This window comes from Homo sapiens, chromosome 16, assembly GCF_000001405.40.
Source record: "Homo sapiens chromosome 16, GRCh38.p14 Primary Assembly".
Classification (NCBI taxonomy): Eukaryota; Metazoa; Chordata; class Mammalia; order Primates; family Hominidae; genus Homo; species Homo sapiens.
Genome location: NC_000016.10, coordinates 51,244,812 through 51,270,863, shown reverse-complemented (window position 1 = coordinate 51,270,863; position 26,052 = coordinate 51,244,812).

The window sequence follows — 26,052 nt, the reverse complement described above, 5'->3', positions numbered from 1 at the left end:
GGGCTAGGAGGATGCTGTGAAGATAGGGAAACACTGAATAATAGGTGGGCTCCCAGCTTCAAACAGAGCTGTCATCTGTTTCGGATTGGGATGAAGCATATGAAATTGCCATTTTTATTGGCCAAAGGCAGCTCATTATTGACAATTTCATTTGGTTACATGAGGTGCAGGCTGGATTTGATCCTGAGCAAGCCACCAGCTCCAGGAGGATGGGACAATGGGGTGCAAATCACTTCTCCATCTCTGCACCTGAAACAGGACCTGGCATATGCCACAGCTGGAATAGCAAATGAATGAAGCAGGTGTCAATGCCTTCATGGGTTCTTTCTCTATTCATTCACATATTTGTGAACAATCATTCATTGGTATTAGTATGCATCAGATACTAAGTGCTGGGTTACAACAATTAAGCAGTACTTTGTTTAAATATAGTTAAATTACTTTAACAGCAGACAGACATTAACCTTCCCTGAGGCCATTTATAGTCCAGTGGGTGAGACAGACATTAAACATACAGTGGCCTGAGTGTTTATTACAATTGCAATAAGTGGTACAAAGGAAAGAGGGCACGTAATCCTTCAGTGTTTGATGTGGTTTGGGTGTTTTGTCCCCTCCAGATCTCACGTTCAATGTAATCTCCAGTGTTGGAGGTGGGTCTCATGCTAAGTGTTTGGGTCACAGGGACAAATCCCTCATGAATTTGGGTGCTTTCCTCAGATAATGAGTGAGTTCTGGCTCTGAGTTCACACAAGATCTGGTTGTTTAAAAGAATGTGGCACCTCCCCCTCTCTGTCTGGCTCCTCCTCTCACCCTGTGATACTCTGGCTCTCCCTTTGCCTTTCACCATGATTGGAAGCTTTCTGAGGTCTCACCAGAAGCAGATGCCAGCACTATGCTTCCTGTACAGACTGCAGAACTGTGAGCCCAAATAAACCACTTTTCTTTATAAATTGCCCAGCGTCCGGTGTTCCTTTATAGTATGCAAGAACAAACTAACATAGTACTCATTAGGTGCAAAGTGCAAGGGTGGCCACTGGGAAGGTTACAGTGATAAGATGTTGCCCAGCTGCCAAGAGAAGAAAGTGTAGTAGACAGTATTGTGCTCAGAAAGCTTTGGTATCTCTCCTTTGGAAGAATGGTCCTTACCTCACCTATTGAGCTCAGGCATGGCCAGGTGACTTGTTTTAGCCAATGAAATGTGAGCATGAGTGACTCGTCATTTCCAGGCAGAAGATTCAAGCCTCAGTGTGCCATGCTCTCTTTTCCTATTGCCACATACTGCTGCTTCTTTAGCGAGGGTCCTGGAATACAGGCCCTGGGAAGCAGTCCTCAGCCCTTCCCAATGGGTGCAAAAACCACCTAATAATTTCAGGTTGTTTGTTTCAGACTGTTTCAGCATAAGCTTGTCTGACTAACAGCAGTCATCCATGCCCTTGCCCTAATCTAACATGAAACCATGTTGTAGATTTCCATATTCCTCTCCAGTGCTAAGTACAGTAGCTTCCATGTGGTAAGTACCAGTAAATGATTGCGAATGAACAATTCACCACAGGATGTGGTAATTGCCATAAAAGAAGGGCAAATCTGGCGTCCTGAGAGCTCAGAGAAGGGAGAGCTCAGCTTTAAGCTCCAGAATGAGAGCATCTTGAGCACAGACAGACCCTAAATGCTGGGTAAATAACAATGAGTATTACAATCACTGTTATCATTCTAGTCCAGTTGTGTTTGGGGAATGGCTTGCAGGTGAGTGAGAGTGGAGCACATCATACTGCCTATGGTCTTTCTTTATACTCCAGAGGGCATGAACATTAGTAGCTGTGGCCTTATATTCTTAGAGCCTCATGATCAGAGAAGAACATGCATCCTTCTCAGCTCAAATTTTTTAAATCCCAGGGAAGACTTCCTATTGGCTCAGTTGAAGTCACATGTCTTTTCTCGAACCAATCAATCATTGTGGTCTCTGGGTAAAATCCAGTTGAATAGCCCAGCCAAAATTTGGTCCAAAAAGAACAGTATCTGTTCTAGGAAGAACAGAGTCAGAGTCATCGTGAGTCAGGCAGGCTCCCCATTTTTATAAGTTTAATGCAATCATTTATTGAGTACTTACTGCTGTATGGAAGACTCTGTGCTTGGCACTGTGGAGGAATATAGAAGACATAGAAGCAGAAGTGGTAATGGGAGTTGAGGAGGCAGAGGCAAGGAAAAAGTAAAGCCCAGACTGAGTCCAGCCCCTACTGCACAGACACTCCCTCTGGGCTGCCCTGCCCTGGAATGTCTCTCCACCAGAAAGCTCTGCTCCCCTCCCAGCACAGCCCCCAAAGAGCTAAAAATCAACGCCACTCACTCCTGAGCCTGACAGCCAAGCTGGATGAGAATGAATGGGGCTCTGTGAGGCATCTTGCAGCTCCCTCGACAATGCTCTGCCCGTACACTCTGTTCTCGTGGTTTCTGTCTCCTCTTCTGTGTTTACAGGGTTGGGCAGCTGCTACAGCCCTTGCCTCTTCCCTGAGTGCCTCAGAGTGACAGAGATGAAGAAGCCACTTGGCTCTAGGAAGTGTGGCCTGGCTTTGATATGGTTTGGCTTTGTGTCCCCACCTAAATCTCATCTGGAATTGTAATCCCCCATGTGTAGACGGAGGGAGGTGATTGGATCATGGAGGCAGTTTCCCCCAAGCTGTTCTCATGATAGTGAGTGAGTTCTCACGAGATCTGATGGTTTTATAAGTGTATGGAAAGCTCCTCCTTTACTCACTCTTCTCTCTCTTGCTGCCTTGTGAAGAAGGTGACTGCTTCCCCTTCTGCCATGATTATGAGTTTCCTGAGGCCTCCCCAGCCATGCGGAACTGTAAGTCCATTAAAGCTCCTTTGTTTATAAATTACCCAGTCTCAGGTATTTCTTTATAGCAGTATAAGAATGAACTAATACAGTGTGAGAACTAATACAGTGTGAGGATGAACTACTAACAGTGTGAGAACAAACTACAGGCTCTGTCCACAGTCAGCACTGTGCAGTAGGCACTGAAGCGAGAAGGAACTAAGTCTAACCAGAGCCCTGTCACTCACAAGCTGGCTAGCCTGGGATGTTAGAGCAACTGGGAATGCACTGGGCAGTACGTTGCATTAAAATAGGACTGCAGTGACAAAAACAAATCAGGGTTTATTTTTCATACAAACAAGAAGTTCAGCTTTAGTGGCTCAACCACCAAAGGCCCACCAACTCTGAAACTCTTTGGACCTTTTCATTTTGCAAGCTGGTCTCTGTAGTGCTAGGCATTGCATCTGTCAGCAGATGAGCACCGAAGAGGGGTTTAGGGTGGGACAAAGGCAGTGGGACATGTCTTGTCTGTCTCTTTTTATCAGGAGAGCAAAACCTTTCCCAGAAACTTCCAACAGGCTTAGATCTCATTGGCCAGATCAAAAGAAACAGGGAAAACAGATATTTTGCTTCTCCAGTCTTCATAGTGGAAGACAACAGTGAAAAAAGTATTGGGAACAACCATAGGTCAGCCAGGTGTCCGTGTCTGCTCCAGGAAGTTACCTTCTTAGCCCCATGCACTAGTTTCCCAGAGATTCCAGAACAAAAGACTGCAAACTTTGAGTGGCTTAAAAAACAGAAGTTTTTTGCCTCACAGTTCCAGAGGCAAGAAGTCCAAGACTGGTGTTGACAATGTTGGTTCCTTCTGAGGGCTGAGAGGGAGGATCTCCCAGCCCCTGCTCCAGCTTCAGGGCTGGCTGGCCATCTTTGGCGTTCCTTGTCTTGGAGAAGCATCACCCTGACTCCTGCCTTCATCATCACATGGTGTTCTCCCCAGGTTTGTGTCTGCTTCCACATTTCCCCTCTTCATCCGGACTCCAGTCTTATTGGATTACAGCCCACCATAATGACCCCACTTAACTTCATTATCTCTGTAAAGACCCTGCCTCCAGATAAGGTCACATTCTGAGATACTGGGGGCTAGAAAGTCAACATATAAATTTGAGGGGGACATGGTTCAACCCATAACAGTCCCGTTTCTTAATCTATAAAATGAGTATAACAAGAGTTCCTGTCCCACGCTGGTTGTAAGACTTACACAGGGTGATCCACATAAGGAACTCCCATCAACGCTGGCCCAGAGTGAGGACCCAATACACAGCTGCTGTGCGTGGCTCCTGGGGCTCCGCACCTCTAGGGCTGAGGCCCATGTCAGGGCCAATGAAAGGAAGATGAGGCCAAGAAGGAGAGAGTCCCATCAGTTCCCAGCCCCTAGAGTTTACCCGTGTCCCCAGTGGGACAGACATGACCTGACAACTGACTAGCTGGCCCTCATGATCCAAGATGGCCCCATCCTCGGCTGCTCAGGACAGCTGGCCACCTGAGTCAGTGGGACTTTCGTCTATAATCCAGGGTGGCCTCACATACTTGGTCCCACAGAGCTCCCATTTCCAGGAAAGCAACCTTTAGCAGCTCCAAGGGAAAGGTGGAGGAGTGGGCTCCCCAGCCCTCACTTGGCTATCTCTTCTCTTCTGGGCAGTAATGGAATCCACCTCCTCTCCTGGGGGCCACTTCCCACAAGAGCAGGACAGGCTGCGATCCCAGGTTCCAAGGGGCTGCTCTCTCTTCCCACTTGAGTGTTTTGAGTAAATTACAAGGCTCTTATCAGTGGTGGGGGCTTTATTGTTCTGCCAGGACATCTCCCTTTGTCAAAAACACAATAACTTGTTGTAAGTGGTACTTTTTTAGGTTTACCAAGCAGACAGACTAATTGTATCTTTTAATCTGGGTCAAACTGCTCTTGCTTATTACAAATTGGCTCTGAATCCTAAAAAGTTGGGGGGGAATGTGAGGAGCATTTGCAAATAATTTAGAGGCAGAATTACCTTCAGACAAATATTATGTCATGTTGGGGAGAAATGCTTACCCAGGCCTCAGCCCAGTTATGCTCTGGTTGGCCCAGAAGGAAGCTGAGGGACAGAGAATGTTCCCTGTTACAGATTCTGGCTACTCATGGAGCTCGTGGATGAGGGGAGACAATTTGGGCATAGAACCAGGCATTACAACCTGGATAATGATTCCCAGAAGTATCTGGTACTGATCCTGTAACCTGTAAATATTACCTTATTTGGAAAAAAGGGTATTCATAGATTTTACTGCATTAGGGAGTTTATGCTCGGTTATTTGGGTGAGCCTTAAATGCAATCACAACTGTCCTTATAAGAGAAAGGTGGAGGGAGATTTGACACAGACAAAAGAAGAAGACAGAGCTTAGAGTGATGCAGCCACAAGCCAAGGCTTGCCAGAAGCCACTAGATTCTCCCTAGAGCCTCTGGAGGGACTATGGCCCTGCTAATACCTTAATTTTGGTCTAGTAAAACTGACTCGAGGCCTCTGGCCTCCAGAACTATAAGAGAATAAATTTTCATTATTTTAAGAAACTAAGTGTGTAGAAATTTGTTACCGCAGCTTTAGGAAACTAACGCATCAGGAGATTCCTGTTGGTGGCTTCACTCTACCCAAAGAGGACTTTCCAAGGCTGAAGAGGCCCCCAAGAGACATGGAAAGTATCATAGAAAGATTGGCCATTGGCCGGTGGTGTTCTAGCTCCTGTGTGGCTACTTCCTAGTTGTGTGACCCTCTCTGAACCTCAGTTTCTTCATTAGAAAAGTAAGAATAACCAACCTCCTCACTACATTGTTGAATGATTGCATGACAAGACACACATAAACCAGACGCTGGCATGTCACCACTGATGATCAGTGAAGGTTACTTTTTTGCTTAATTTTTATTGTTACACCTCCATTGACTTTCCAGGGGCTATTGTCAGAGTCATCAAGCAGTTTCTTGGGGCACTGTAGACTGTACTCATATCCTCTGCAAACCCCTTAATTTGCCAGGCAGTGCTATTTGTAAACTTCATGAGCTCAGATCATTGAGGGTTAATTTCTCCTGACTTAAAACAGTTTGCAGAAAACGTTAATGCCAATGTAAAGCAAACTGGTGCTCAAGCCAGAAAGTTGACATCCATAACAATGAGGCCAAGTGGGATATTTATTTCACCCAATTCACTAAAAAGAACACTATTTTTGACAAAGGCAATCAAAGAATTAGCTATATCCATGCACCTTTGATAATTGTCCTTGGATTGAGGCAAGGCTGGCCTTAACCATATTCATGATATGTTTCCAAGGGTACTCCTGGACTACCCATCTTTGAAATACCTTCACTATCAGAACGAAAAGTTCCACTGTTAGAGATTTATTCCTTTGGTGAGCTCAAGCATGGACCAATTTAGAGTCAAATATCACTAAGAAGCCAATTCTAGTTGTTAATAACTTAATACATTGCAGTTTGCAATTTAAAACCTTCCAGTGTCTTCCTGGTGCTTCAGAAAAAAACTACATAATTTTCATGGTCTCCAAGGCCTCCACAATCTGATCTTCTCTTCCTTGCCCTTGTATGTTTCTTCTAGTTGTTCAAATGTTCTATGATCTCTCTCTCTCCTGCTTCAGGCTTTTGCACAGGCTGCTCTATCTGGAGAAGATATTTAAAACATACTGACCTCCTGGGGCTGGGAACTACACAGGGAAGGGGAAGAGTGAACATGAGGATAATGGGACATGGTCCTCAACGTGGTCCTCACACTCAGGATGCTTGTCTTCAAGTAGGAGTCACGGCTGAAAAGAAGCTAAGAACAGGTAGAGCAAGCAGCCCAGATGCGAGACAGCTAAATGCTACAGGTCTTAGGAGAGACTCTTTCTCCTAGAGGTGGTGGAGGGGATCCAGGAGGTAGCAGAACCTTTGAAGGATGCATCACACTTAGCCGTGGGGGGAAGACTGTTGTAGAGCGTAATTTTCAGGTGGAAGGGACAGCTCAGGCAAAGACACAGAGTGGGCAGAATGTGAACATTCAGAGATGAACAACAGTGGGAACAAACACTGAGCACTGGGAAATTACCCCAAATCACAGCAGTCCCTCATGACCTGACCCCACCCATCTCCCCATTTCCTCTCACTTACAGTGGCCCAGTCACGTGGGCCTTCCATCTGTGACCCCATTGAGTTTGTGGTTCCCCAGTTAGGGCCTTGGCTCATCCCTTCACACTGCCTGGAAGCTTTCTCCCTCATCCCTCCCATGGATGCTCCCTTCTCACCCTCTCCATCTCAACCACTCCCCATAGAGACTTTCGCTACCATCCCCTCCAAAGTGTGTCCATGCTGTTTTTCTCACTCAGTGCCTCTTTCTCGGTACTTTCTGACATTTAGCACAATTTGAGATTGTATTTTTCTTTGTAGATGATCTGATTAATGTCTGTCTCCCCTCTTATATCATGAGCTCTGAGAGGCTAGAAAAGGGTCTGTTTGTCCAGTACTTGATGAAGCCTGGCAGAGTGGGCACCCAGTGGAAACTCATTGAATTAGTTGGTGTGTGTGCGTGGTTGTGTGTGCCCCTGTGTGCACGTGTGTGTTTGTGTTATGGCTAAAGACTAAGATGAGTTAATGTACAACATAGATTTAAAAAGTATCAAATTAATTAATTGTGCTTTTGTATACTTTAATTCTGAAAGTTAATTATTTGTCTGCTGAAGGCCTGCTGCCTTGGTCAGAGATGCTAGCACAGGGGAAGATATAGTAAATGGTGGCATCCCAGTTTGCAATGAAAAGCATAGAATGCAAGCACATTTATGAAATACAGACATCACTTAGAACAGGTCTGGAACCAGGCATAACTCCTTCAGGTGACAATTGGTCTTGTGCATAGACCAGAATGGAGTTATGGAAATACAAGCCAGTAGCCTGTAATCCCAGCGCTTTGGGAGGCCGAGGTGGGCAGATGACTTGAGGTCAAGAGTTCAAGACCAGTCTGGCCAACATGGTGAAACACTATCTCTGCTAAAACTGCAAAAATTAGCCAGGTGTGATGACATATGCCTGTAATCCCAGTGCTTTGGGAGGCCGAAGTGGGCAGATGACTTGAGGTCAGGAGTTCGAGACCAGTCTGGCCAACATGGTGGAACACTATCTCTGCTAAAACTACAAAAATTAGCCAGGTGTGGTGACATATGCCTGTATTCCCAGCTACTTGGGAGGCTGAGGCAGGAGAATTGCTTGAATCTGGGAGGTCAAGGCTGCAGTGACCTGAGATTGCACCAGTTCATTCCAGCCTGAGTGACAGAGCAACACTGTCTCAAAAACAAAACAAAAACAAGCCAGTAATTTCTAGGCAGATTTTTCTCCTGTGAGCTGTTTGCCAGCAGCCATTTACCTGGCAAACTCTGGGTCTAGAATTCTCCTTCTTGGTAATTCATGATTACACAACTCTGATGTTAGCTGGCTAACGTTGACTCTGAACCCTCCAAAAGGAAAGTTTTCTAAGCAAATGAACAAAAATCATGAAATATCAAGGAAGCAGGTCAAATTATTTAGGAAATAGAGGTAGTCCATACCAACATAGAGGAATCTATTTACATACAAACAATATATTAATTATAAAGCATTCTTTACCATTTCTTAAAGCAGGGGACTCTGAAGGATGTTCCTCTGTATAATGCAGTAGCCTTATTAGAGTTTCTGTCTGTGTTGAAAGGCAACACAACTGCCTCTCCAGTACATTAGAGTGAAAGAAAGGGAGGAGAGAAAGGGAAGGAAAGGAGGAAAGCAGGAAGAAGACAGGGAGGAAGGAAGGAAGAAAGCGGGGGAGAAGGAGGGAAGGAGGGAAGGGGGGAAGGAAGGAGGGAGGTAGGGAAAGGAGGAGGGGAGGAGAGGGGAGGTGAGGGGAGAAGGAAGAGAAGGAGGGAGGGAAGGAGGAAAGGAAGAAGGGAAGGAAGAGAGGGAGGGAACAAGAATGAAGGAAGGCAAAAAGAGAGGGAGGGAGGTAAAGAAAGAAGGAGAGAAGGAGGGATGGAAGGAAAAAAGAAAGAAGGGAGAGAGGGAAGAAGGGGAGGACTTGCAGCTGCCATTTGCCCAGTGCTTAGTGTGCCAGGCATTTGTGCTAAATGTTAGACATACTTCATCTTTTAATCTGCCAGCCACCCTCTGAGATAGGTATTTATTATTATTTCCATTTTGCAGATTAACTGAGTTGAGGTTTGGAGCAGTAAAGCTACCTACTCAAAGTGGCAAGACCATATGTGCAGGGTATAAAATCCAAGTCATAGCTGAATGGAATAGCACATTCCTCCTCCATCACAATCAGACCACATCGCTTCCAGATCTTATTGCTCTGAATTTCCTTCAGGCAGAGGATCCTTCCATGGAATAATGCAAGTGCAGAAGGCTTAATCCTTCTCTCTGTGCGTGTGTGCATGTGCCCATGTGTGCAATATGAAATCACTTTAAAATACCATGTAAACCATAATGAGGTACCTCATTTCCAAAAAGATCAGTTGGCAAGCATTTTAAAAGTTTGACAAGTCAATCCTGGTGAGGTAGTGGAGCAGTGAGAACTTTCTTACCCCTCTGGTGTAGATATAAACTGCTAAAAATCAGTCAAGAATGCAATTTGCTGATTTCTAGAAAAGCTGAAGCCATGTGACTCCCATGACCCAGCATTTCCAGACCCACCTGTATAGACAGGAATTTTCACACATTTACATAAGGAGTCACATGGAAGAATATTCATTGCTGTAGTGCATGAAATCTAACAAAATTAAACTTGTTGGATTTGGAAAGATACCACGTATCAGTTAACAGGAAAAGGGATAAATAAAGGGAGATCATGATGCTGTGACAGTTTGGCTGGAAGTTGAAGCAAACTGGAACCCCAGAACTCCTGGCAACAACATGGAGAACTATCAAATCAATACTGAAAAAAAAGAAATAGCTGTCGGAGACAACCAACAGTGTGACCACACTGATTCTCTAAAAGTGTAAAAGCACATGGACACATACAAATGAAATAAAATTTAAAATCATATATGGGAAAATTTAGGACAGCAGTTACCACTGAGGGAGAGAAGGAAGAAGGGAATTGTACAGTGAAAAGGCTTCAACTGTGTTTGCAATGTTTTCATTCTTAAGCTGAGCGATGGGTGTGCTAACGTTTATGAAATATTCTCTGTAAGTTTTTTTTTGTATTCCCAAAATACTTCAACATAATGCAATTTTAAAAGAGGAGGAGGAAGACTAAGTGTTTTGCTTTCTACAAGAAATGCTACTGGGGGATAGCAGGGCTGAGAAGTGGCCAGACTATTTGTGAACCTGGATAAAGCTTCTAATTTCTCCTGGCCTGGTTGGAGGTGCCCTGCCCTTGGCAGGTGGTCCAGCCCATGATACAGCTGCATACAGCAATGCCTGTAAGCAGCAAGCATCGTAAACCTCCCAGGATGCCACCTCCAGCCTGCTGCAACACAGAGCATGTTCCCTGGGAAGCCGTGTTTTCTCCAGGTGAAGGTTGGGATCACTCCATCTCTGTCACCTGCACAGAGAAGGAAGTGCTATGGAGAGACAGATTAGATCATCTATTATCAAGTAGGCATAAGACCGACCAAGGAGGCACCTGCCGCTTGCCAGATGTTCTATTCATTATCAGAGTCGTGGGGAGGGTGGACCTTGATTCTTCCTCTCTGTCCCCTGAGTCCAGACTCTCTAGGGAAGAATCAGACAGGAGACTGGATCATGGACCAGCTCCCTCAAAACTGGCCTGATGATGGGGTGGGGTGGGGCAGGGATTGCATCACAGGCAGCACAGAGTACATTACTCCTAGGCTGTGGAAATACTCAAGAAGAGAGTATAATATTTTGGAAGGTTCTTGTGTTCAGGCCAGTGGCAAACATGATGAATGTCTCCCCTGGGACACTTAAACAAAAGCCCAGCCAATACTACCATCATTGTCATCATCATCATCATCGTCAAATGCTTACTCTGAGCCAGAAACTCTGCTAAGAGTTTCACCTGCATTTTCTTATGGACTTATGGCAAGGTCTTTACAAGGAAACAACTATGCATGTGCCCAGGTGACAGCAGAGGAAATGGGCAGGGGGAGGTAAGTAACCAACTGAGCTCCACTAAAGTGAACTGCCACAAACATGCCATCTCCTCTACCTCACCATTGACCTGTCAATGACCTCACCCAGGCATCCGCTCCAAAGGCGGGGAGGTGGGCAGGGTCCCTTTGCTTCCTTATATCCCGGAAACACTCTGGGCAGAAATGGCACACCCAGTACCTAGCATCCAGCACCCAGCACCCAGTACAGCCTTCTCTAACCAGCCAAGGCCCAGAGATCTGGGCTTTGAGAGCATTAAAATTTCTAAAACAGGCACCTAGGAGTGTTACATGACTTTCCTGAGAACCCAAAAGCCTCTTCATGACTTTATGAATCTTCAGAGATGAGGATGAGCATGGCTGTTAGGTCTCCCACCAGGCGGCTAGCAAGACCTAACCCTAAGCCCCATCCCTGGTCATCTAGGGGATCCCCTCATCGCTCATCCACTCCTAATTGCTGGCTCTTGGAAACAAGCAACACAGAGTGACTAACTCCACCAGCACCACCACCATATCACCACTACCACCCAAAGCCCAATACCTTCCAAATCTAGGGCACATCACCATCTGATCTGGAAGCCTCTTCCTATACGTCTGATGTTCTGTTTCAATGTCTGAGCCCAGATGTAGACACTATAAAATACCCTGAGCTGATTCTGATGGTCTTACAGATTTAGTACACATGGCCTTAAGCTATAGAAAGTTCTAATGATAGAATTACAGAATTCCATCTTGTAGTAGGAACAGGAGGCGATGGAGATGTCAGCTTTTCTGGCAGAGAACAGAATTATGCCCCCAAAACTTAACTCCCCACCCCACCCCCTGCCCCTGGAAACATTGGTTAGCAATCAGGTCACACAGAGAGAAATTACCCTTTAGAGTTTCACAAGCCAAGGATCTACATCAGCTCCACTCTACTCTGGCCCCCAGACACCCTCCCTCCCTTTCCCTAAAATCATCCCATCTGCAGCCAGGCTCATTTTCAAAGTCATGTTCACTTATTTGTCTGGACCACAAGATGCCCAGGCAGATTGCATGTTCTAGGTCCAAGGGAGGTGTGTTAGTCAGCTCAAGCTACCATAACAAATACCACAGATCGGGTGGCTTAAACCACTGAATTTCTTCCTCACAGTTCTGGAGGCTGGAAGTCCAAGATCAAGGTGTCGGGTCAGGAGTTCGAGACCAGCATGGCCAACATGGGGAAACCCCATCTCTACTAAAAATACAAAAATTTGCCGGGCTTGGTGGCAAGTGCTTATAATCCCAGCTACTCAGGAGGCTGAGGCAGGAGAATCGCTTGAACCCAGGAGACAGAGGTTGCAGTGAGCCAAGATCGAGCCACTGCACTCAGCCTGGGCGACAGAGTGAGACTCCGTTTCAAAAAAAAAAAAAAAACAGGTGTTGGCAAAGTCGGTTTCTTCTGCGGCCTCTCTCCTTGGCTTATAGCTGGCCATCTGCTCCCTGTGTCCCCACAGGGTCTTTCCTCTGTGTGTGTCTGTGTCCTAATCTCCCCTTCTAAGGACACCAGTGAGATTGGATTAGAGCCCACCCTTGTGTTATCTCAATTACTTCTTTAAAGGCCCTATCTACAAATACAGTCACATTCTTCAGGACTTGGGGTTAAGGCTTCAAAATGTGCACTGAGGGGCACAATTCAGCCTGTAACAGGAAGGAAAACAGCTTGCAGAGAAATGCAGGGAGTTTGCATGCCATTCTCTCACCCACTGGGATCTTCCACCTGGATTTACATCTCCTTTCATTCCTCTCTGTTCCCCCGAAACTCTAAATCTTGACATACTCTAATGTTTTATATTAACCCATGATATTATATTTTCTCTTTTTTTTTTTTTTTTTTTTTTTTTGAGACGGAGTCTCACTCTGTCGCCCAGGCTGGAGTGCAGTGGCGCAATCTCGGCTCACTGCAATCTCCACCCCCTGAGTTCAAGTGATTCTCCTGCCCAAGCCTCCCAAGTAGCTGGGATTATAGGTGCCTGCCACAGCGCCTGGCTAATTTTTGTATTTTTAGTAGAGACAGGGTTTCACCATCTTGGCCAGGCTTGTCTTGAACTCCTCACCTCGTGATCCACCCACCTTGGCCTCCCAAAGTGCTGGGATTACAGGCATGAGCCACCGCGCCCAGCCTCTCTTTTTTTTTTTTTTCCTTTTGAGACAGAGTTTAGCTCTTGTTGCCCAGGCTGGAGGGCAATGGCGTGATCTCGGCTCACCACAAACTCCGCCTCCCTGGTTCAAGTGATTCTCCAGCCTTAGCCTCCCAAGTAGCTGGTATTACAGGCATGTGCCACCATGCCTGGCTAATTTTGTATTTTTAATACAGACAGAATTTCTCCATGTTGATCAGGCTGGTCTCGAACTCCCGACCTCAAGTCATCCACCTACCTCGGCCTCCCAAAGTGTTAGGATTACAGGCCTGAACCATCGCGCCTCACCTATATTTTCTCTTTACAGCAGGAATTACAGAAAATTTAAAGCATCACTGCAAGTGCAGGAGATGAGCCCTGGAAAATATTATCATCATGCCCAACGTTGGCATGCATTCTCTTCTCCCTAGTTGGGCTCCTCTGTGCTCATTAATTAGTTCAGTGAATAGCAGCCATCAGTCACTGGTGGACTCTTCTCTAAAACTCTATTTGATTTTCTTGAATTATCACCTGAGACAGGGTAAACAGGAGATGCATGAAATATTCTGGAATTCCAAATTGATAGAGAGGCATCATGCCAGGCACTGGCACCCATCAAACTGAATGACTCAGAATTTACGCAGATAGGATGGAGGCCGGAGAGGACGAGAAGAGGTAAGGACAGGGTGGAGCTGAGGGAGTCCCCGGGTTTGTAAGCCCACCCAGTTCATCACAACTGGAAAGACAACAGCAGCCTGGACCTCAGCCTGACTGAACCCCAGATCCCCAGATCAGCTCTGGGGAGAGGATGTTTGCAGGTGGTGTCCATTACCCCAGATAGAGAAAAAAGCCAAGAAGGCCCTTCTGACTGATAGTGTTGACCTGCCTTCAGCAAACAGTCTCTAAACATCAACAACATGGCATCAGGAGGTGGTTTTGGTAAATTGTTTGCTTGACAGAAGGAGTCATTATTTTATTTTATTTTTCAGCTTTTATTTTGGCTTCGGGGGTACATGTACAGGTTTGTTACATAGGTATATTGCATGACACTGAGGTTTGGGGTATGAATGATTCTGCAACCCACGTAGTGAACATAGTACCCAATGAGTAGTTTTTCAGCACATACCCACCTCTCCCTTTTCTAGTAGGCCCTGATGTCTGTTGCTGCCATCTTTATGTCCATGTGTACTCAATGTCTAGCTCTCACTTATAAGTGAGAATATTCGCTATTTGGTTTTCTGTTCCTGCATTAATTTGCTTAGAAAAATGGCCTCCAGCTGCATCCATGTTGCTGCAAAGAACATGATTTTGTTCATTTTTATGGCTAAATAGTATTCCATGGTGTATATATATTGCATTTTCTTTATCCAATCCATTATTGATGGGTACTTAGATTGATTCCAAGTCTTTGCTATTGAAGAGTCATTATTTTAAAAAGCATTTGCCAAATTCTTGTGGATATTGCCCAAAGTGTATTTTTCCCAGCACTCCTCCTGTCTTGGGCCAAAGCCTTTTCTTGACCAGAAGGCAAATAATGACTAGAGGTAGATCTTGACATTGAGATCCAGAAATGGTCCCAATTGCTCAACAGAATCTGTTATTTGGGAAAAGGTTACTCTAGGTGAGGGAGTTTTGAGGATGCCTGGGTTTACTGCAGGTGCCAACCTGCAGCCAGCCCTGTCCCTAGAGCTCTGTCTCCAGACTCCACCTATTCCCTCCATAGCTGTTCTGCTCCTCCAGGCCCTTGCACCCTGCCTGGCCCAGATGTGTTCCCTCACTCCCCACTGTCAATGCCCTCTTCTCTTAGGAGTGTGTCTAAAATGTTAACACTATATGGATCAAAGAAATGTATACTGTGGCTTCTGGAAGCCAGATATGTATAAGCTCTTCAGAAGCAACTTGGAAATGGCTGAACTGAGACTGGCCTGCCTGGCACTTGCAGGAGCGAGAGATCTCATTAGGCTAGACTTTCTCTCCCTTCCAGGAGTCTGCTGTTCAGAGACCAGCAGTCAATCACTTGGGGGCAGGGAACGAGGGGAATGAAATCTGCAGCTTTAGGAAAATGGAACTGAAAACATTTAACTTTGAATCATAAACAGAAGCAATAAATTAGAGAGAGGTCAGGGAACAGGAAATCAAGAGAGGAGAGGCCTGTTCCAGGAAATAAGGAGATTTGGTTGGGCAATGACATTCAGCAGCCTTTCGTGGAGATATTGATCACTGGGGCTGGGCTGGCTGCTGCACCACTGTCAGAGGAGTCTGGCCCAGAGGGTATATTCTGAGGCTGCCCTTCACTGAATTCTCTAATTGTCCCCAGAAGCACAGTCCTAGGCATAGATATTTTACATCAGAGAAAGGGACAAAGATCTCAGTTGGAAGTGGGCATCCTCTTGCAACCCAAAAAGGAATGCATGGTGCAGGTTCTAGTGGGACTTTTCAAAGACAGGATGTATTTCTAGCATTTCTCCAGATGATAACAGGATTTACACCTTTGGGCAATTGCATAAACTCCCTGGCAATACAAGTCTATAGCTGTTCTGAGGGCCCTGAGTCAAGTGTTTTGTAGAGGCTAGAAAGGCAGAGATGAATGAAACATGGCTCTAGAGCCACCCAGTGTAATGGGAGAGACAGACACATTGACCACAAAGCATAATATTAAGCAAGGCAGTTGGTGATGAATTGATCTACATCAGTATGACATAAAAATAAGTCGGGGTGGAGCCAAGATGGCCAAATAGGAACAGCTCCAGTCTACAGCTCCCAGCATGAATGACACAGAAGACAAAGGTTTTCTGCATTTCCAACTGAGGTACTGGGTTCATCTCACTAGGGAATGTCGGAAAGGGGGTGCAGGACAGTGGGTGCAGTGCACTGAGCCTGAGCCAAAGCAGGGTGAGGCATCCTCTCACCCAGGAAGCACAAGGTGTCAGGGAATTCCCTTGCTTAGCCAAGGAAAGGGGTGACAGACAGCATCTGGAAAACCGGGTCACTCCCACCCTAATACTGTGCTTTTCCAATGGTCTTAGCAAACAGCACACCAGGAGATTATATCCCGCGCACGGCTCAGAGGGTCCTACGCCCACAGAGCCTTGCTCATTGCTAGCACAGCAGTCTAAGATCAAACTGCAAGGCAGCAGCGAGGCTGGGGGAGGGGCGCCTGACATTGCTGAGGCTTAGGTAGGTAAACAAAGCAGCCAGGAAGCTTGATCTGTGTGGAGCCCCATGCAGCTCAAGGAGGCCTGCCTGCCTCTGTAGACTCCACCTCTTGGGGGCAGGGCATAGCCAAACAAAAGGCAGCAGAAACTTCTGCAGACTTAAATGTCCCTGTCAGACAGCTTTGAAGAGAGTAGTGGTTCTCCCAGCACACAGCTTCAGATCTGAGAATGGACAGACTGCCTCCTCAAGTGCATCCCCAACACCTGAGTAGCCTAACTGGGAGGCACCCCCCAGTAGGGGCAAACTAACACCTCAACGGCTGGGTACTCCTCTGAGACAAAACTTCCAGGGGAGTGATCAGGCAGCAACATTTACTGTTCACCAATATCCGCTGTTCTGCAGTCTCCACTGCTGATACCCATGCAAACAGGGTCTGGAGTGGGCCTCTGGCAAACTCCAACAGACCTGCAGCTGAGGGTCCTCACTGTTAGAAGGAAAACTAACAAACAGAAAGGACATCCACACCAAAAACCCATCTGTACGTCACCATCATCAAAGACAAAAGGTAGATAAAACCACAAAGATGGAGAAAAAACAGAGCAGAAAAACTGAAAATTCTAAAAATCAGAGCACCTCTCCTCCTCCAAAGGAACGTAGCTCCTCACCAGCAACAGAAAAAAGCTGGACAGAGAATGACTTTGACGAGTTGAAAGAAGAAGGCTTCAGACAATCAAAGTACTCCGAGCTAAAGGGGGAAGTTCAAACCCATGGCAAAGAAGTTAAAAACCTTGAAAAAAGATTAGACGAATGGCTAACTAGAATAACCAATGCAGAGAAGTCCTTAAAGGACCTGATGGAGCTGAAAACCATGGCACGAGACCTACGTGACGAATGCACAAGCCTCAGTAGCCAATTCAATCAACTGTTAGAAAAGGTATCAGCGATGGAAGATCAAATGAATGAAACGCAGCGAGAAAAGAAGTTTAGAGAAAAAAGAGTAAAAAGAAATGAACAAAGCCTCCAAGAAATATGGGACTATGTGAAAAGATCAAACCTAAGTCAGATTGGTGTACCTGAAAGTGACGGGGAGAATGGAACCAAGCTGGAAAACACTCTTCAGGATATTATCCAGGAAAACTTCCCCAATCTAGCAAGGCAGGCCAACATTCAAATTCAGGAAATACAGAGAACGCCACAAAGATACTTCTGAAGAAGAGCAACTCAAAGACACATAACTGTGAGATTCACCACAGTTGAAATGAATGAAAAAAATGTTAAGGGCAGCCAGAGAGAAGGTCGGGTTACTCACAAAGGGAAGCCCATCAGACTAACAGCTGATCTCTCAGCAGAAACTCTACAAGCCAGAAGAGAGTGAGGGCCAATATTCAACATTTGGAAAGAAAAGAATTTTCAACCCAGAATTTCATATCCACCCAAACTAAGCTTCATAAGTGAAGGAGAAATAAAATCCTTTATAGACAAGCAAATGCTGAGAGATTTTGTCACCACTAGGCCTGCCCTACAAGACCTCCTGAAGAAAGCACTAAATATGGAAAAGAACAACCAGTACCAGCCACTGCAAAAACATGCCAAATTGTAAAGACCATCGAGGTTAGGAAGAAACTGCATCAACTAACGAGCAAAATAACCAGCTAACATCATAATGATAGGATCAAATTTACACATAGCAATATCAACCTTAAATGTAAATAGGCTAAATGCTCCAATTAAAAGACACAGACTGGCAAATTGGATAAAGAGTCAAGACACTTCACTGTGCTGTATTCAGGAAACCCATCTCATGTGCAGAGACACACATAGGCTCAAAATAAAGGAATGGAGGAAGATCCACCAAGCAAATGGAAAACAAAAAAAGGCAGGGGTTGCAATCCTAGTCTCTGATAAAACAGACTCTAAACCAACAAAGATCAAAAGAGACAAAGACGGCCATTACATAATGGTAAAGGGATCAATTCAACAAGAAGAGCTAACTATCCTAAATATATATGCACCCAATACAGGAGCACCCAGATTCATAAAGCAAGTCCTTAGAGACCTACAGAGACTTAGACTCCCACACAATAATAATTGGAGACTTTAACACCCCACTGTCAACATTAGACAGATCAACGAGACAGAAAGTTAACAAGGATATACAGGAATTGAACTCAGCTCTGCACCAAGTGGACCTAATAGACATCTACAGAACTCTCCTCCCCAAATCAACAGAATATACATTCTTTTCAGCACCACACCACACCTATTCCAAAATTGACCACACAGTTGGAAGTAAAGCACTCCTCAGCAAATGTAAAAGAACAGAAATTATAACAAACTGTCTCTCAGACCACAGTGCAATCAAACTAGAACTCAAGATTAAGACACACACTCAAAACCACTCAAAAACATGGAAACTGAACAACCTGCTCCTGAATGACTACTGGGTACATAACGATATAAAGGCAGAAATAAAGATGTTCTTTGAAATCAATAAGAACAGAGACACAACATACCAGAATTTCTGGAACACATTCAAAGCAGTGTGTGGAGGCAAATGTATAGCACTAAACGCCCACAAGAGAAAGCAGGAAAGATCCAAGATTGACACCCTAACATCACAATTAAAAGAACTAGAGAAGCAAGAGCAAACACATTCAAAAACTAGCAGAAGGCAAGAAATAACTAAGATCAGAGCAGAACTGAAGGAAATAGAGACACAAAACACCCTTCAAAAGATCGATGAATCCAGGAGCTGGTTTTTTGAAAAGATCAACAAAATTGATAGACCACTAGCAAGATTAATAAGAAAAGAGAGCAGAATCACACAGACGCAATAAAAAATGATAAAGGGGATATCATCACCGATCCCACAGAAATACAAACTACCATCAGAGAATACTATAAACACCTCTATGCAAATAAAGTAGAAAATCTAGAAGAAATGGATAAATTCCTCGACACATACACTCTCCCAAGACTAAACCAGGAAGAAGTTGAATCTCTGAATAGACCAATAACAGGCTCTGAAATTGAGGCAATAATTAATAGCTTACCAACCAAAAAAAGTCCAGGACCAGATGGATTCACAGCTGAATTCCACCAGAAGTACAAGGAGGAGCTGGTACCATTCCTTCTGAAACTATTCCAATCAATAGAAAAAGAAGGAATCCTCCCTAACTCATTTTATGTGGCCAGCATCATCCTGATACCAAAGCCTGGCAGAGACACAACAAAAAAAAGTATTTTAGACCAATATCCTTGATGAACATCGATGCAAAAATCCTCAATAAAATACTGGCAAACCGAATCCAGCAGCACATCAAAAAGCTTATCCACCACGATCAAGTGGGCTTCATCCCTGGGATCCAAGGTTGGTTCAACATACCCAAATCAATAAATGTAATCCAGACTATAAACAGAACCAATGACAAAAACCACATGATTATCTCAATAGATGCAGAAAAAGCCTTTGACAAAATTCAACAGCCCTTCATGCTAAAAACTCTCAATAAATTAGGTATTGTTGGGACGTATCTCAAAATAATAAGAGCTATCTATGACACACCCACAGCCAATATCATACCGAATGGACAAAAACTGGAAGCATTCCCTTTGAAAACTGGCACAAGACAGGGATGCCCTCTCTCACCACTCCTATTCAACATAGTGTTGGAAGTTCTGGCCAGGGCAATCAGGCAGGAGAAAGAAATAAAGGGTATTCAATTAGGAAAAGAGGAAGTCAAATTGTCCCTGTTTGCAGATGACATCACTGTGTATCTAGAAAACCCCATCATCTCAGCCTAAAATCTCCTTAACCTGATAAACAACTTCAGCAAAGTCTCAGGATACAAAATCAATGTGCAAAAATCACAAGCATTCTTATACACCACTAACAGACAAACAGAGAGCCAAATCATGGTGAACTCCCATTCACAATTGCTTCAAAGAGAATAAAATACCTAGGAATCCAACTTACAAGGGATGTGAAGGACCTCTTCAAGGAGAACTACAAACCACTGCACAATGAAATAAAAGAGGATACAAACAAATGGAAGAACATTCCACGCTTATGGGTAGGAAGAATCAATATCGTGAAAATGGACATACTGACCAAGGTAATTTATAGATTCAATGCCATCCCCATAAAGCTAACAATGACTTTCTTCACAGAATTGGAAAACACTACTTTAAAGTTCATATGGAACCAAAAAAGAGCCCACATTGCCAAGTCAATCCTAAGCCAAAAGAACAAAGCTGGAGGCATCATGCTACCTGACTTCACACTATACTACAAGGCTACAGTAACCAAAACAGCATGGTACTGGTACCAAAACAGAGATATAGACCAATGGAACAGAACAGAACCCTTAGAAATAATGCCACATATCTACAACTATCTGATCTTTGACAAACCTGACAAAAACAAGCAATGGGGAAAGGATTCCCTATTTAATAAATGGTGCTGGGAAAACTGGCTAGTCATATGTAGAAAGCTGAAACTGGATCCCTTCCTTACATCTTATACAAAAATTAATTCAAGATGGATTAAAGACTTACATGTTAGACCGAAAACCATAGAAACCCTAGAAGAAAACCTAGGCAATACCATTCAGGACATAGGCATGGGCAAGGACTTCATGTCTAAAACACCAAAAGCAATGGCAACAAAAGCCAAAATTGACAAATGGGATCTCATTAAACTAAAGAGCTTCTGCACAGCAAAAGAAACCACCATCAGAGTGAACAGGCAACCTACAGAATGGGAGAAAATTTTTGCAATCTACTCATCTGACAAAGGGCTAATATCCAGAATCTACAATGAACCCAAACAAATTTATGAGAAAAAAACAAACAACCCCATCAAAAGCTGGGCGAAGTATATGAACAGACACTTCTCAAAAGAAGACATTTATGCACCCAACAGACACAAGAAAAAATGCTCATCATCACTGGCCGTCTGAGAAATGCAAATCAAAACCACAATGAGATACCATCTCACACCAGTTAGAATGGCAATCATTAAAAAGTCAGGAAACAACAGGTGCTGGAGAGGATGTGGAGAAATAGTAACAATTTTACACTGTTGGTGGGACTGTAAACTAGTTCAACCATTGTGGAAGTCGATGTGACGATTCCTCAGGGATCTAGAACAAGAAATACCATTTGACCCAGCCATCTCATTACTGGGTATATATCCAAAGGATTATAAATCATGCTGCTATAAAGACACATGCACACGTACGTTTACTGTGGCACTATTCACAATAGCAAAGACTTGGAACCAACCCAAATGTCTAACAATGATAGACTGGATTAAGAAAATGTGGCACATATACACCATGGAATACTATGCAGCCATAAAAAAGGATGAGTTCAATGTCCTTTGTAGGGACATGGATGAAGCTGGAAACCATCATTCTCAGCAAGCTATCACAAGGACAAAAAACCAAACACTGCGTGTTCTCACTCATAGGTGGGAATTGAACAATGAGAACACATGGACACAGGAAGGGGAACATCACACACCAGGGCCTGTTATGGGGTTGGGGGAGGAGGGAGGGATAGCATTAGGAGATATACCTAATATTAAATGACGAGTTAATGGGTGCAGCACACCAACATGGCACATGTATATATATGTAACAAACCTGCATGTTGTGCACATGTACCCTAAAACTTAAAGTATAATAAAAAAAAAAGAAAAGAAAATATCACAGATAACAAAAAATAAATAAATAAATAAAATAAGTCAGATAGAGCAGGCGCGGTAGCTCACGCTTGTAGTCCCAGAACTTTAGGAGGCCAAGGCAGGCAGATCGCTTGAACCCAGGAGTTTGAGATCAGCCTGGGCAACATGGCGAAACCCTGTCTCTACAAAAACACAAATTTGCCAGGCCTGGTACATGTCTGTAGTCCCAGTTACTCAGGAGGCTGAGGTAGGAGGATCACTTGAGCCCAAGAGGCAGAGGTTGCAGTGAGCCGAGATCCCAACCTGCACTGCATCTGGGTGACAGAGTGAGACTCTGCTTCATAAAAAAGAAAAGAAAGAGGAAAGGAAAGAAGGAAGGAAGGAAGGGAGGGAGGGAGGGAGGGAGGGAAAGGGAAAGGGAAAGGGAAAGGGAAAGGGAAAGGGAAAAGGAAAGGGAAAGGTCAGAAAGACCCAGAATGCAACCCCAGACTTCCACGTCCCACTTGATGGTCTTTGAACAAGTTATATTGTTCCCCGGAAATTCCGTTTCCTAGATCTAAGAAGTACAGCCCTCATTTCTCTGAAGATCCACAAGGCAAGGGAAGTGGGGCAGTGTGGCTCACAGGGAAAGAAAGCCCAGGGCACTGTTTTGAAGCCACCTGAGGGTATGCACCAATGTCCTTAGGTGGATTTCTAGAATCCCTATTGAGATTTGCACCATCTAAGTAAAATGAATCTGAAGAGGTTGTCTGGAGATAAAACTATTCCTATGTTTGGCCCAAGGTCAGTGCTGAACCAATGGGAAAGTAAGCAAGAGAATGAATGGGGTAAATAGCAGAAGTGATTCGGGACTGACTCTCTTACCTCTCAGCAAAATCCCCAGTTGAACCCCTGAGAATAAAGGAGATTTTATTTATTTATGTACTTGTTTAACAAATACATGGCACTTAATTTGTGCCAGGCATTATTCTCAGTGCTTCACCTAAAAAACGCCAGTTTAATATTCACTATAATCCAAGGAGGTGTTATTATTATCCCCATTTTACAGATAAGAAACCTAAACAGACAGGTTTAGTACCTTGGACAAGTCACATAGCTAAAAAGTAGCCAAGACAGTTTTTGAACCCAGGCTTTGAACCCAGGCATTGTGGCTCTGAGAATCCACATTCCTTCTCTATTAAGGAGGCTAAAACGTCGCCTGAAGCCTCAAGGAGCCTGGTACCAGTCACACCCATCTACAGCCGTTAGCTCAGGTGGGAAGCTGCTGAGATGGTATTCAGAGCCCGGGTGCAGTACTCAGCCTCTGCCTTGATTCAAGAAGCCCAGTTTAAGGGCCTCCCCACCCAGCCCCCAGGACTTTGTCAGGCGCCCCCTAAGCCTAGAGGCCTCAATTCTTCTACCCAGATCTGTGAAGTGTCCTTGGGTCTGTGGTGGCACTGGCCACCCTGGGGCCCCCTAGAAAGGGTCCCTCCCCGGCTTCTCTCCAGTGCCCAAGGTCTGTCCTTGTGCCAAATGCAACTGATCCGTAGTGGCTGCCTGCAATACTGAATGGAAAAGAACTTGGGGTCACATCTGGGCTAACCAGGAAAGACACCCTTGTCCATCGGTGATTTCCTCATGGGTGTAGGAAACAGGTTATCGGCCACTGGCATAGCATTTCACTCAAGCCCATGGCTGATGCTCACAGTCCTCTGCCCAAGCTGGGCTGAGTGTTTTCTCCTTGTAACCTTCAGACTGTTCTGCTACTATCTCAGTCAGGACTCTTCTGATTGCAAGTGACAGAAATCCAGCTCTACCTGAACATGCGAAAAAGGAGAAATAACTTACTTAACTGAATTATGCAGGGGCAGATTTCTCAACTTCTCCATCTCTCATGTATGCTTTCTTCTGGAACAACTTCATTCTCATGCAAATTCCCCTCTCAGGATAGCAAATATGGCAAAAACGGCTACCAGGACTGACAAGCTGGTCTTTCAGCTATAGTTTCAACAGAAGCTCCAGAGCTGAGTTTCACTGGCTTAAGTTGGATCACATGACCTCCCCTAAGCCAATCATCGTGGCCAAGGGATGGTCCAGTGGGCCAGGCCTGGGTCCCATGTTTGCCCCTGTAATGAAATGGGGAGATGGGGATGGAGATTAATCTCACTCGCCATCTAGCAACCTGTGGTGGAAAAGGGCTGGCTCTCCAAAGGAAACTTGGGATGCCTTTCTCAGCATTTTAAACACCTAAAAATCGCGTTTTAAGAAGGTTTTTCTGGGAAAAATGTTTACGGGATGGATTAGAGCATTGAGCATGTACTATGCCAACAAGCCAGTCTCGGCTCCTTTTCCCTGGTTTGTGTTTATAGACTTCAGTCCTGGGAAGATGGGTTCTTTCCTGACTCTCTTGATCATTCACATCAGAAAAGAGTTCTGTTCCTTGGGATTTTATTTTTAATTATGGGAAATTTTCAGATATAATCAAAAGTGTTGAAAATAATCTGTGTCTGTTCCTCAGCTTCAACAATGATTAACTCAGGGCCAATTTTATTTCATCTATAGCCCCGCCCATCCCCACTCCACCATGAATTACTTTGAAGCAAATCCAGACATCATATATCTTTAAGATGCTCAGATTGCAAGGCCCTACAAGAGCTAGAGATTCCATTCTCCTCGAGAAGAAAGGAATCTGGCCTGTTATTTTACGTCACTTAGCAGAGGAGAGTCTTGCCTTTCCTCCTCCATAAACATGGCCCAAATCTCCTTACCTGATATTATACTTTGAGTCTTTATGAGTGGAAAACTGCACTTTCTTTATTCTTGTCTGGAAGTGCTCAGCCGGAGTGATTGCAGTGTTATCTCCCTGGGCATCCCCATTGTCCTCATCCTGCTGTTTCAACCCACTTTGCCTGTAGCCTTGTTTTCTGACCTGCCCCCTGCCTCCTCCTACCTGATTTCTAGGGTCCCTTTCCCCATTCTTCTAGCATTCTAACATACACACAGTCTAGAGAACAACAATAGCCTGAAAAAACTCTATTTCCCATTTTATAATCCCAACACAGAGCAGTCTCTCTGCCATGCAGCATACCAGCCTACAAATTGCTGCCGATACATGCATCAAAGAGCCATTCGGCTGCTCATGTGAACACAGGCTTCCCTTGCGCTTCCAAATGCTATATTATCTCTGCCACAGCAAAACCCCTTGAATAGCTAATAAATGCAAAAGAAAGTTTGGGAGGAAAAAAAAGTTACAAAAAATTATTATTATTACTTAAAGAGCCAGAGAAAGATAGCAAGGTTCTTCTAAAGTTACAACACCATCGTTAGCAGCTGCAGGGTACATGAAAGCCAGGGGCCGGGGGAGGGAAGATAGGGCATATTTCAAAGCTGACTGCTGCAGTAACAAAACGCGAAGGGGGTGTTGTGTGGAATACGCCAAGTGTTTGAAGTGGACAAGGTTTCTAGCGTGTTGCCTTGATGCCTGTACATACTTAATAACAGATGTTTGGTCTCTCTAGGCAGATAATTGTCCTTCTGTAAGGTTGACTTGACCTGCCTGAACGGTCCAGCTTCGAGCGCTGCAGCAGTAACAAATGATCCTAGCTTCTCTCTTTTTTACTAGGGAGATGCTCAGCCACGCTTCCTTTTAAGCACATAATTACTCGGCAGCAACTGAAGCCCATACATTCCCCTCTCCTAATGGCCATGGAGCCATTCGGTCATAATTTATGGGGACAGGGTTCAAAGTTTTAATAATATTTGGATAATATCATTGCCCACACGTCGGGGACGTCGTGATGAATAGAAGGAGAGTGGGCTTATTTCGATTCCATGCATGACAGTGAGGACGTTAACGACTGGGTGCCCGGCGTGGCCTTTATGGAAACTGCCACCAGGCCATCAGCTCATGAATTATAGATCTGGGCATGAAGGATCACATAGGGATGTTGTTCATGAGGAACTGTCCTGTTAGCGCCTCTTCCTTATGCAGATAAATGAATTGCAGGGAATACCAAAACGGCGTAAATAAGCCCTTAGTGGATAACACATTAGAACATCAACATAAAAAACCCAGTGCTGGGGCCTGCTTGGGGATATTTATGTTTATACTCTCTGCTCAAGTGGCTC